This window comes from Homo sapiens, chromosome 6 (assembly GCF_000001405.40).
Source record: "Homo sapiens chromosome 6, GRCh38.p14 Primary Assembly".
In the NCBI taxonomy this organism is placed as follows: Eukaryota; Metazoa; Chordata; class Mammalia; order Primates; family Hominidae; genus Homo; species Homo sapiens.
In genome coordinates this window covers 98,188,693-98,201,696 of record NC_000006.12, presented here as the reverse complement: position 1 = coordinate 98,201,696, position 13,004 = coordinate 98,188,693, and positions in this window count along the sequence as shown.

The following is a 13,004-nucleotide window of genomic DNA, read 5'->3' as shown; positions in this document are numbered from 1 at the left end:
CTAAGCATGATTGTATACTATTTCTACAAGATACAGTGATTTAATATGATGTACTATGAAGTTGATTATTTTGTTCTCAGCAATTTATACTTAAATCTATATATACAAAGTTAGTTCATAAAAACAAAATGGTATATGACTCTTATTTTTACAAGCCAAAAATGCAAATAATCTATTTGTGAAGCAGTCACATGATTTATTCCATTTCTTCTTGCTAGTTAAAAACAATAACAAAAGAAGCATTAGCTCTTTTCTGTACAAACAGGTTACATGGATTCGTATTCATAATTAAAAATTTATAGTACTTTCTCTACAGCATAGGATCATCAGTTTAAATTAAAAATGCTCTGGTAATGTGAGCATCATTTTAGGCATGAAACTCAACTTCTTGCATGTAATAAAATAGATTTTTTAAAGTTTCAAATTAAAGGTTCACATTCAGTAAGGAGGATATTTGGTCATAGGAAATATTTTTTTTTTTAGAAGTGAAAAATTTCGTTCTATTCTAATTGAAGAATGTAAAAACATTAAACATATGGAATGGTATTTTTTACAGGAAAGGAAGGCATTTTATATATGCTCTCTTAGAGATGACATTTTTTCTATTAGAGGTCGATTGACCAGGTTTTTCCCTAATAGAAAACCAGAACCATTTCAGAATTATTAAAATCTTAGGAATAGATATACTTAGTAAGTAATGAAATATATATATCCTAGTATCAAATTATAAAAACAGAGTATCAAAATATTCTAACACAATAATTATCTTTCAGGATACTATTCTTATGTAAAATGTATAATTCTGTCTTAGAGAATGTTAATGTTTCTAGTACCCACAAGAAGGTAAAAATGGTCAGGTTTTAACTTTTAACAATAAATACATATATATTTTTAAAATTCAACAAGGCTTTTATTGTTTGGAAGAACAACATTTTATGAAGGTCATAAATATTTCCATTATCTGCACTATGTCTAAATAACTTCACATCAACAACAAATTTAGTCCATTAAAACCATATCTCTTCCCTAGAAAAAAATGTACCTTCTCACATGAAACAAACTGATTCTTCTGTAATGCCCATGGATAAAGAAAAAATATATAGATTTGTTCTAAGTACTTAAAATTCATCTTTAAGTTTGCTGTGTATATCCACTCTAGGTTAACTTAAACTAAAACTTATTAAACCAGTAGCATTCCAATAAAGGAATAGTATAAGCAGTATATAATGGATTATAGCCATGTCTAATTGCATTAAGTAGTATTATTGAGTATGTTAAGGACACGGCTTTGTGAACTGAAGATACCTCTTATTTTTAAAATCATAAACCTTATCACAGTCTCGTATTTCTGATCTTGCTTCATATCTAAATCTGTTACATAACTCAGTGTAAATAAAAGACCAAATACTGCTGACCTGGGGAAAAAAATAACCGGTACCACTATAACCATAAACAGGCCTTAAATAGGTTTATAGCACATCCAGTATTTCCAACAGAATAATATATTTTTAAATTCAAATAAATCAAAATTATAATAATCTCACATTTATTAAAATATTTAGGAATACTTAGAGAAACTACATGGAATTTTTGTTTCTCTTATTTCCATCCTTCATTTTAGTCCTACTATAATAGTAGATAAAAAGTATTTTGCATTTCAGTTTACAAAATTATACACATGTATGTGCTATTTTCTCAAGTTTGAGAGACTCTACCATAGCAGTCCAGACCTTCCTCTGTTATTGTTAGTAATCCTTTGACCTTACCCTTCTTTCCCACACAGAAGGTCTTGTCAGTTGGTTTCTTCACCATAGAATTTATAATCCATGGTGTGCTGGTAAATGTTTAATACCTGGCTCTCCAGAAGAAAAAAAAAAAAAAGCCTTATTCATAGTCTTTGCTGATTTCCATCATCCACATAGTCCTAGCATGGCCAGTTACAGCCACTAATGTAGAGTCATCAAATGAGCACTTGAGAAGAGATTCACAGTAGCAGACCATTACATAGTGTTTCTACCATCACAAATACTATGGTTGAAAATAAACTAAAGAGCATAGTAAAATGCAGTAAGACAGTTTGGAAGTAATAAGTTATATTTATTGCCTTAGATTTTAATATAGTCTCCTAATTATAGGCTTAAATAATTTAATTTTTAATAATGGTCATTTGAAATAACCAAAATTCCTGAAAATTTAGTAATTTACCCTCATTAGCTGATAAGAGCTCAGCAAACAACTGAGTTTACTCTATGAAATATTTCATAAATGGTCATTTAAAAAATTTGTGCTATTTTAAATGTCAAGTGTTAGATGTATAAATTTTTAAAAGCATAAAAATCAGCAGTCGTATAGTAATCCTACTGGTCATGGCTCTGTCAAATTTCAAGTAGCCAGCATTTCTATGTGTCTTATAAGAAAAAGAGAAATGGGTTTTTCTTTTTACAGTTTTTAAGCTAATAGAATTATCTCTTTTAGGTCCGATTCTTTGGCCATGCCATCATCCTTAGTGGATACATTGCTTATTATCTTTGCTAAATGATTTGTATCCTTGAGGATATTCCAGGAAACACTTTCTACTTACATTGGCTCACTCCCTGAGAAAGAAAGGGATTGATGGATAGACAATGGATACAGATCTCCTTTGAGAGTTTCACACTGATATGAGCAAAGGTGGCCCTGGAGGTAGAAGAAAGGCCCCTAATTGGTCTGGGGTGAATGTTTTGAATGAGATGTTAATGTATAAATCAGCCTTTATTTTTCTGGGTTACCATCACTGCTCCTTCTATGTGAAAAAATAAGGCAATGAATTCAGAGCATGTCTCTTCACTTTTCTAATTTAAAAACTACCTTACTGGCATACGACTACATTGCTGTCTCATCTGTTGCCTAAACTGGCCCTGAAGCAGCAGACAGGAAGACAGTAGGTTTGGTCAATGAAACATGAGACAAATGCATTACGGCATTAGAATTCCTAATGAATCAGTAGTTCCCTAATAACAGGACATTAAAGTTCTACCAGACGCTATCTTTCATGGCTCCGTGTAGAAAAAAGTCCTTTAAATCACTGGGAGATGGTGCTCTTTCTAGCTGAGTGTATTACCTATAATCTCCTAAAGATCAAATTTTAGAGAAGAAAAATATAGGGAACCTTTTTTTATGAGAGGTAGAGAATAAATTAAGATTTTGGGGGTCCACTTTTCATCATTAAGTCTTACTATAATTCTAAACTCATTTTGGATACAGAAATTTGATGTCTTTTGAAAAATATTGTTTTATGTAGCAATTTTTAAATTGCAAACTTCTTGCTTGAAATTTAAACTGGTAAAATTTCATTAACATTATTGATATTATGTACACGCATTATAATAACTTGTGGTTAGGACAGAAATCATTGATGATTATTAGGAGTATTTTATTTTAATATTTTTATTATGCCCACTTCTCTTTTTTATTGTAGGAATCTATTTTAGCTAAAATCCGAGATTCTGACCCTCATCTGTGTTAACCATCAGTGCAATTGGAATGAGTAATTTTTCTTCCACCCATCATTCCACATGAGAATGTGAAGTTTTCTCATATCATCTGGATCTAAGATGAATGAAACTTGACACATTTATTTAAAGGAGCTTCTTAACTATATCATTACTACATGAAACAATCTAAAGTTACTTTTGACATTTCACAGTATGTGAAATTCACTGAGAATTAAAGTAAAATAAAATAAGTAACTGAGAAGAGAAAACAGTTATTTGACTTATTTTTTCCTCTTTATATTTGTAACATAGTAGAGATAAAAATCATGAAGCCAGTATTCATCAATGTACCTTTGTTAACCCTTTAATAGCAATCCATATCTTACTGAATGCTGATGTAATTGGTTATAACATTAAGTAGAAATGTTGTAGAGTATTTCTTAATTGATAGCTCTTAATTAAATAATTGATTTAAATAGAAGATATTAATTTGAAATAGTCAGAGATATAGTTTTTCCCAGAATGAGTTTATTCTATTTTAAATGCAAACTCCTGGATGATAAAAGCAAAATAAATTAAAAGCCTACCTATTTTTGAAAATGTTTTCTCTCCTGAAAATAGAAAAACTGATGTTCTCATTGATGAAGAATTAACTGGGCAGTTAATTTCAGGTTGTTTTCATAGCAAATACAATGTTTTCAACCAAACTCTCCAAACTTTTCACCTTAGAATAAAACTACATTTAATAAAATAACCAAAACTATCAAGGCAATAGGTTTTTTAAACCACAACTTACTTCATATTATTACTTCATATTGCTTCATTTTTAATTATATATTTTAAGAACTGAATTTTCAATAGAATGTACCACATTAAAATTTCAAGTTCAAACTCAGTTTCTTACTTGCTTAATTGTTGCACTAATTGTGGATAAATATATGGCTTTTTGTAATTATCACAGATAAAAGCTATTGACAAGGTTACTTCAGAAACTTTGCAACAGATACTGAATGTAGAGCCTGAGTTTATGTTCATTTTATTTAATCCCTACTAGAGTGACATATTCAATCTCTGACCAGTTTGGAAGGCCAATGCTGACTACATAACCTATTATAAGTGTATTTTGCTTGCTTTGCTGATTTTAAAGTAAATGGTAAAATACTGCAGATTTGTCATACAGTATATTGATGAAAAGCACATTATATCTACCATGCTCAATAAGTAACCTATTTAAGGTTTGAAAACGAATGCATTATCAACTCATATATAAATCCCACTACATCTTAAATAAGCAAGGGCTTTTGAAAGATCAAATATAAAGCATCAATTTAACCTTTTCACCAGAATTTTGGTTCATGAATAGTCTGACCTCTGTATGGATCAGTGGAATAATCTTTTAGTTTGAGTAAGCCTCTGTCTCTCAATATAGCTTATTAAGTTATCAACATTTAATGTTACTGAACAATTTCCACCTGGTTTCCATTCTAAGATTTTAAGTATGTATTAATGTGTGTGTTCACAAGGGAGTGACCAGGGAATGCTGTTGTCACTGGAAAAATAAAGGAGTTCAAATAATAAATTCTTGAAACGGTACTGTATGAAGCATGTCCTTAAGTAAATTTAAGACATCAAAGAGTGTAACATAGAGAAAAAACTTAAGAGAGCCAGAAATATGGTGAGGAATACCAAATTATAAATGGGTTCATGTTTTTAAAACCTCCATATTTCAGGCTATGTGACCATGGTCTTATTTGTATATTCCAGAAACCAGTCTGGGTATAATGAAGTGTGAGAATCTGACTTTGGACTTGGGTTTACATTGCTGTTTGTATTAATTATGTAGAAGTCAAGGAGATTCAGTGTAGTTAGGAGAAAGCTATTTATCTTCTGAGGATTTTTGAGAATTTGAATTCTTTGGTGTGAGGTGGGGAGGTGGTTAGCTTATTTCTTTTTTTTTTTTTTTTTTGAGACGGAGTCTCGCTCTGTCGCCCAGGCTGGAGTGCAGTGGCAGGATCTCGGCTCACTGCAAGCTCCGCCTCCCGGGTTCACGCCATTCTCCTGCCTCAGCCTCCCAAGTAGCTGGGACTACAGGCGCCCGCCACTACGCCCGGCTAATTTTTTGTATTTTTAGTAGAGACGGGGTTTCACCGTTTTAGCCGGGATGGTCTCGATCTCCTGACCTCGTGATCCGCCCGCCTCGGCCTCCCAAAGTGCTGGGATTACAGGCGTGAGCCACCGCGCCCGGCCGCTTATTTCTTAATGACTATTAATTGAACTAACACACCAGGATAAATCTATCAGTTATTTTGGAATTTCTAGATAAAAGGCCTGAAAAAAATGGAGAAACAGCAATCTTTGTAATCACAAAGTATTAGAGCCCTTTCCATGAAACTACAGATTAATTTTTCTACAATGGAAAACTGATCATATGTTAGTCTCCTAAAATCCTAAACTGACCATTTATAATTTGGGGTTTCTTATGTTTCTTGCCTTCAGTGATCTTCAAAACTTTGAGAATAAAGTCTATGCTGCTTTTTCTGGAGTAAAGTTTAGGTCTGGGTTCTGTCTCCTGATTCTGATTCCTCATTCTTTCTATTTGTCATGCATATTAAAGGGTTTGAAGATACTTGAATATACTTTGCTCTCTCAACCATCATTGCCTTGCACACACTACCAGAAATACCCTTTCATTTCAAATTTCCCTTCAAACTTCTTTATCTTACCTGCTTTGGAACTTCTTACATGAGTCTTATTTCTACCTCAAGTTTCAGTTCAAATAGGCCTGACCAAGTTATCTTCCCCAATTTTCCTCAAGTTCCTCATTCCCCAGCTGTTTGAGGCATTCCTCCTATGTGCTCTGATAACTCTCCTCACATTTCTATCAAAGCATATAATGATATTGTACAATAGCTATTAATTTATTTGTTTTTACACTGCAATAAAATGCACATCCCAGGGCTATGACTTTTAACACCAAATCCCTTATTATTAGTTCTCAGCCCAGTGTCTGAAAGTAGTAAGTCTTGGAATAGTTTGTTAAATAAATACTTACATTGTCTTGAAATTAGAGGGTAGAACTGAAAACCATCAGCAAATTTGCCATTTTGGAAAGGTAGAATTGGGAAAAAGGCTATCAAAAACAAAAGCAATCACAGCTAAGAAGACCCAAGACTTTGGTCACAATCCTTGTCAGAATAGAATTTGTACTTGAAAACAGGCTTCAGGACTAGATTTATGTCCTTGGCTAAAACCACACTCTCGATTCCATAATGCTGCTACACGTGGTCCTGGAAATTATACCTGCTGCTAGGATTGTATCTGCCCCCAACCCCAGCCCATCCCCAGTCCATGTTTCTCAGGGATCTCCAATTAATTTATCTCTTTGAGTTTTTCCATAAGCTATCAAGAAGGATGCACCCCTTTCATATACAATAATGACTTTTAAAGAACATATACCTTAGATGGCCAATACCTATCCAGTTCCATAGAAAAGACCTCTCTGGTACTGACGTTGATAAGAGATACACAAGCTCTTTTTGAAGTTTTTTTTTTTTTTAATTTTAATTGTGGTTTAAAAAACCATATTACATGAAATTTACCATCTTAATCATTTTCAAGTATAAAGTTCAGTAGTGTTAAGTATATTCATATATTTACAGATCTCCAGAACTTTTTCATCTTGGGTACTAAAATTCTATACTCATTAAATGACTCCCCTTTTCTGTCTGTCCCTAGTCCCTGGATCACCATTACTTTCTATTTCTATGAATTTGACTACTTTAGATACTTCATGTAAGTGGGATCATATCGTATTTTCCCTTTTTGCGATTAACTTATTTAGCTAGCATAATGTCCTTGTGATTCATGCATGTTATGACGTGTCAGAATTTCCTTTCTTTTTAAGGATGATTAATATTCCATTGTATATTTGAATATCACATTTTGTTTATTCATTCATCTGCCAATGGACATTTGGATTATTTCAACTGCTAGGTTACTGTAAATAATACTTCTATGAAAACAAGTGTGCAAAGTATCTCTTTGAGACTTTGATTCTTATTATTTTGGACCTATAATGAGGTTGCTGGATCATATAGTAGTTCTAATTTCAATTTTTTGAGGAACGATTATACTGTTATCCATAGTGGTTGCACCATTTTACATTCCCGCTACCAGTGTACAAGAGTTCTCATTTTTCCACATCCCTGCCAACACTTGTTATTTTCTGTTTTTTGTTTGTTTTTATAGAAGCCATCTTAACAGGTGTGAGATAGTATCTTACTGTGGTTTCAATTTGCACTGAGATAGATATACTCTCCATTATGTTGTTAAGCGATTAAATCCAGCTAGGTTTGCATGAACTGTTAAGTTTTTATAATTTCATTAAGCTAGTTTGAGTTTCTTCACTTGCAATGAAAAGAATCCTGTCTAATGTATTTATCTGTCCTAATGTACCTCCACACTTCCCCACCTAGGTTTTACTGCTAGGTGCGATATGCCAACACAAATCTAACTGATGAAGTGTCTTCAACAGTTAATATAAATCCTTTTTAAAAATGCAAATGTACCTTCTAATGTTGAGAAAATTTTAATCAAACTTCGTACGAACAAGCCTTTATTATGTAGCTTTCTCCCAACATCTAGCTAATGGAAATCCCACTGAAGCCTTTGTAGCTACACTTACATCAGGAAAGAAGAAGAGTAGGAGAAAGAAAAGTGTGAGCACGAGGAGGGTTAGGAGGAGAGAAAGAGGATAAAGAGGAGGAGTAGAAAGAAGAGCGAAGAGGGAAAAATAGGAGAGGAAGGAAGAAATACAGAAAGAAACTTGAAATAGAGAAAGAATAGAAACTTGGTATTCTGGAGCACTTTGTGCCTTGGGGCCTCCTCTACCCTGCATTTTGCATCTAAGCTGAAGAAGTGCACCAAGGGGCCACTCAAGGGCAGTAAATGTTGGGAAATATTGGCTCTCCAAGATGGAGGCTGGGCTAGGAAAGAAGACAAGAGGATGTCAGATTTCCTATTTTATTAGAACAAATCTTTGAGTAGGAAAATAAGAGAATCCTCTTTTCTGAATTTCATGGTCTCCTACCCTAGATCTCAGCTTTCAAGTTTATCATAATGAAACACTGAATATTGATGTAACCACAGTTATGATGTAATTATAACAAAAAGGTGGAGGGATGGAGTTTAATCAGAGAGGTCCATGGTAAAACATTATTAGATAATACTAACCTGAAAACTCAAGAAAAAAATTAAGTGTTAGCAACTTATTTATAAATATGGTGGAACTATAAGAAACAGAGACGAATGTGGTATAGGAAGAAATAATTGCATTTTAAAAAGTAATTACAATGAATAAACTGGAATCTAAGGTTGGCAGGGGGTGCAGGGCTACTGTTTATAATTATAAACTTCATAAAATTTTCACTTAGAACCATATCTATGTATAACTGAGATAAAAATATAAATTAAGAATTTAAAAAAGAAACAACCCTTACAAGTAACTACCAAACAGTTAAGAGTATGCATACACACATACATGTGTGCACCTATGTATTTGTGGTATGTAGTGAGAAGTGTTCGTGTGTGTCTATGTGTTTGCCTTGTGAGTCTTTTTAACAAAATGAAATCCTATTAAACTCCTGCAATGTACTTTACCTTTTGAGAACATACCAGAGATATATTTCACCCTTTTTATGTGACATAATTATATACATGTATGTTCATTTAATTCCCCGTCCCTCTGATGATGGGTTTCATATGCTTTTTAGAAAGTATTTTTGTCCTCATTTGGGGGTGGGTATTTTGCAAATAATAAATATAAATGAATTTAGTATTGATTTGGTATCAGAGATTATTATTATTATTATTTATTATTATTATTATTATTATTATTTTGAGATGGAGTCATGCTCTGTCACACTCTGCACTCCCAGGCTGGAGTGCAGTGGCATGATCTGGGCTCACTGCAAGCCCTGCTTCCTGGGTTCAAGCGATTCTTCTGCCTCAGCTTCCCAAGTAGCTGGAACCACAGGCGCCCACCACCACAGCTGGCTAATTTTTTGTATTTTTAGTAGAGACAGGGTTTCACCATGTTAGCCAGGATGGTCTTGATCTCCTGAACTCGTGATCCGCCTGCCTTGGCCTCCCAAAGTGCTGGGATTACAGGCGTGAGACACGACGCCCGGCTGGTATCAGAGATTATTTTTAGTAACAAGAATAAAAACTAAAGTGAAAGACAGCTATTTAGACAACTATAGCACCATGTAATGAGTTCCGTGGAGGTTTGACAACAGAGTTTATAATAAATATATATTATAGAAGTAGAGGTTCATGTGACTTCCCACCTCCACAAGAAAAAATATTACAATGACAAAAAGATTATAAAACTATACAGAATACTTTGTATCAGTCAAAAAAAAAAAAGAAACGTAAGTTCATTTATTTCCTAAGAGAGTAACAATCATATATTTTTATTGAGATATAAAACAAAATTAAAAGCTTTGAGTAGTTTGTTATATCTCAACTGACCATGATTTAGTAAGGAGGAAAATAGGGAGGGAAGGAAAAAAGGAGAAAGGAAGATGAGAGGAAAAGATGGAAGACTCAATTTAGAATATTAATAAATACACTTTTTTTCCAAATTGGTATTCATTCTTACATGTATAAATCTTAGTAGATGTTAATATGTCTTTTTTGTTCTGTTTTGTTTTGTTTTTTGAGACAGAGTCTCACTCTGTCACCGAGGCTAGGGTACAGTGGCACAATCTCGACTCACTGAAACCTCTGCCTCCCAAGTTCAAGCGAACTCGTGCCTCAGCCTCCTGAGTAGCTGGGATTACAGGCATGTGCCACCAATCCTAGAAAATTTTTGTATTTTTAGTAGAGACAAGGTTTCACCATGTTGACCAGGCTGGTCTCAAACTCCTGACCTCAAGTGATCCACCCACCTCGGCCTCCCAAAGTGCTGAGATTACAGGTGTGATCCACTGTGCCTGGCCAATATGTCTTTAATAAGAATAACATTGGTTGTTTATTAGTTGAATAATTTCAGAAAACAAATTGTGGGTAATAGAGGTGGGTTTCTAGGATTAATTTCATGAGATCATGTAAAAAACAAGGTAACCAACTCTGATGGTATTCTGCTGTTAGTCAATGTTCTTAAAACAATTATATATAAATTGCTAATATATGTTTATGTCATGTTAATGAACACAATCTGAGAGGTCATGCAAACAGAAAAAGTTCTACTAGAACATAGTTTACATTATTAAAAGTTCTTTTGGTTTAAGTAAAATAAGCAGAAAACTCTTATAGCTAAACTTTTCAGTAAAGGTCCGAGCTGAGGCACTCACTAAATTTAATTCTAGAACCAATATAAAGATGTCTGGTATCTTAAAAAGTAAACCAGAAGCATATATTTAATAGAAAAATATGGTGTTGTGAAAGGTCAAATTTCAAATCTATAAACTCAAGGGTATGGTTAAAATCACAGACGAATGAGAGATTTGATCCCAATATTGAAATCAAATTTAGTTTTCCTATTGAGAATGAAAAACAGAGTCACCAAAATTTGATTTTAGATTTGAAAGAGAGTGATACTAACTGATTTTGCTGGGTTTAACCCAGCATCATTTTTAAGAAACGTCACTAAAAGTTGGGCCAAATCTATAGATATATGGGGGGAAAATTTCTCTAATTCAAGAAGCAAATTACAGATGCTGAAAAGGCTAATATTGTAAACAGCTATTGGCAGAAGCTATTCACAGTTTATGGAATAAAGTACTATAAAGACTGGAATTTCTGGGCACCAGAGTGCTGGTTTACTGACTCTTGTAGAATGACTTTAAAATGCTTTCATTCAGACCTCTAGCCAGTGTGTTATAGATACAAAGAAACAGAGAAGCAGAGAGTCACTTAGTGTAATTTAACTTTACTTTTATTTTAGTATACACAAATGTACACATATGCATATGCAAAACGAATATTACTTTCCTTTATTCCACTTTGTAACTTTTGGCCAAGAGTTCACAGGTTTAAGAATTAGGCAAATCTGAGTTTAAGTTTTGGCTCTGCCATCTTATTCTGTATGATGTTGGGCAAAGTACTTTAACATATTTACCCTGTTTCCTCATATGTAAAATGAACATAATAATAATTTCCACATCAGAAAGTTATTATGATCCTTAAGTGAAATAGTATAAAACATATAGTCAGTGCCAGGCAAATACTGAATGACAACTATTGTTAAAGAAAAAAATTATTCTGACACTTGTTAAGACATTAAGGAAGACTTTAGTCCAGGCTATTACAATAGCAATATTGCAATAGGAAAGAGAAATCTGGGCTCAACTCCAAATACAGCAAAGACACCTGGGAATTTATAGCTGGAGAACACAGTCAGGGGTCAGTGAATGAAAAATTACTAAGAAGAGACATCAGGGATAGTGGGGTAATTCTTGCTAAACTGGCCTAACAGGATTCTAGCTAAAGGTAGGCCAAGAAATTATATTTCAAAGGTGGGAGATGGAGAACGTGCTCAGGTATCAAGAACTGGGCATTCTCAATGCACTGACTTAGCAGGATTCTTGCTAATATAGGATGGGCTAGCCAAAGACAGGAGGAAGAAAGAGAGGAACAAAGTCCAAGACCTTTTGAGAAGAGGGCCCAGAGGACCTTGACTAAATTTGGGTTACGGATTAAGTCTTTGTCGCTATATAATATCAAACATCCCACTATCCTTTCAATTATTTGACTTCAACATATTGCTCTTACTAGTCAAAGAAAGTCCAAATACATTTTATGCCTACTTTGTATGTTTTGCATGAGTTTTCTTCAGGCTTTTAGTTGTCTGTATTCAATGTGAGCACTGTTTTGCCAAAGTATGATTTTTATTCATTGACATAAAATCTCCACAAACTTAGACTGCTTGTTTCTTAAGTTTTCTTGCCTTCAGTAACAAGACCTGAGGTAATCTTAGTTTTTTCTATGTTTATGAAATATCTGAATTATTGCTTTTACAGTGTTTAAAAATGCCCAGCATATCCTTACCCTAACAATAAAAAAATTAAAGAAGTCAGATGACATGAAAACATTTTAAGTTCTATAAACATATTTAAAGCATGGTTTTCTTCATGAAGAATCAAAATAAAGTTAGAATTTTTTATAAAATTTAATGTCATATTTGTACATGACGTTTTATTTTACAACAAAAGGGATATGGCTTTATATTATATTTCATGATGTCATAAGCCTATTATGGTGAAGAGAAAGGTATGCTGAATTGGCCATAACTTTTTCATGACATACATTGGTCTTCACAGGAATATATACATTTTTAAAAACTATGAGCATAGAATAGTTGTGTACCTTTGATAATAGTGGTTTTAAGTTATCCATTAAAAACTTTTTCTTGTTAAGGGTCTGCCAATTTTAATAACGCCTTTCTAATTTGTCATGTGTGCATTTTTACTTTAGAAAACATGTACCAAATCTCTATTATTCCTCTATGTCAGTGTTATGGTTTTACAT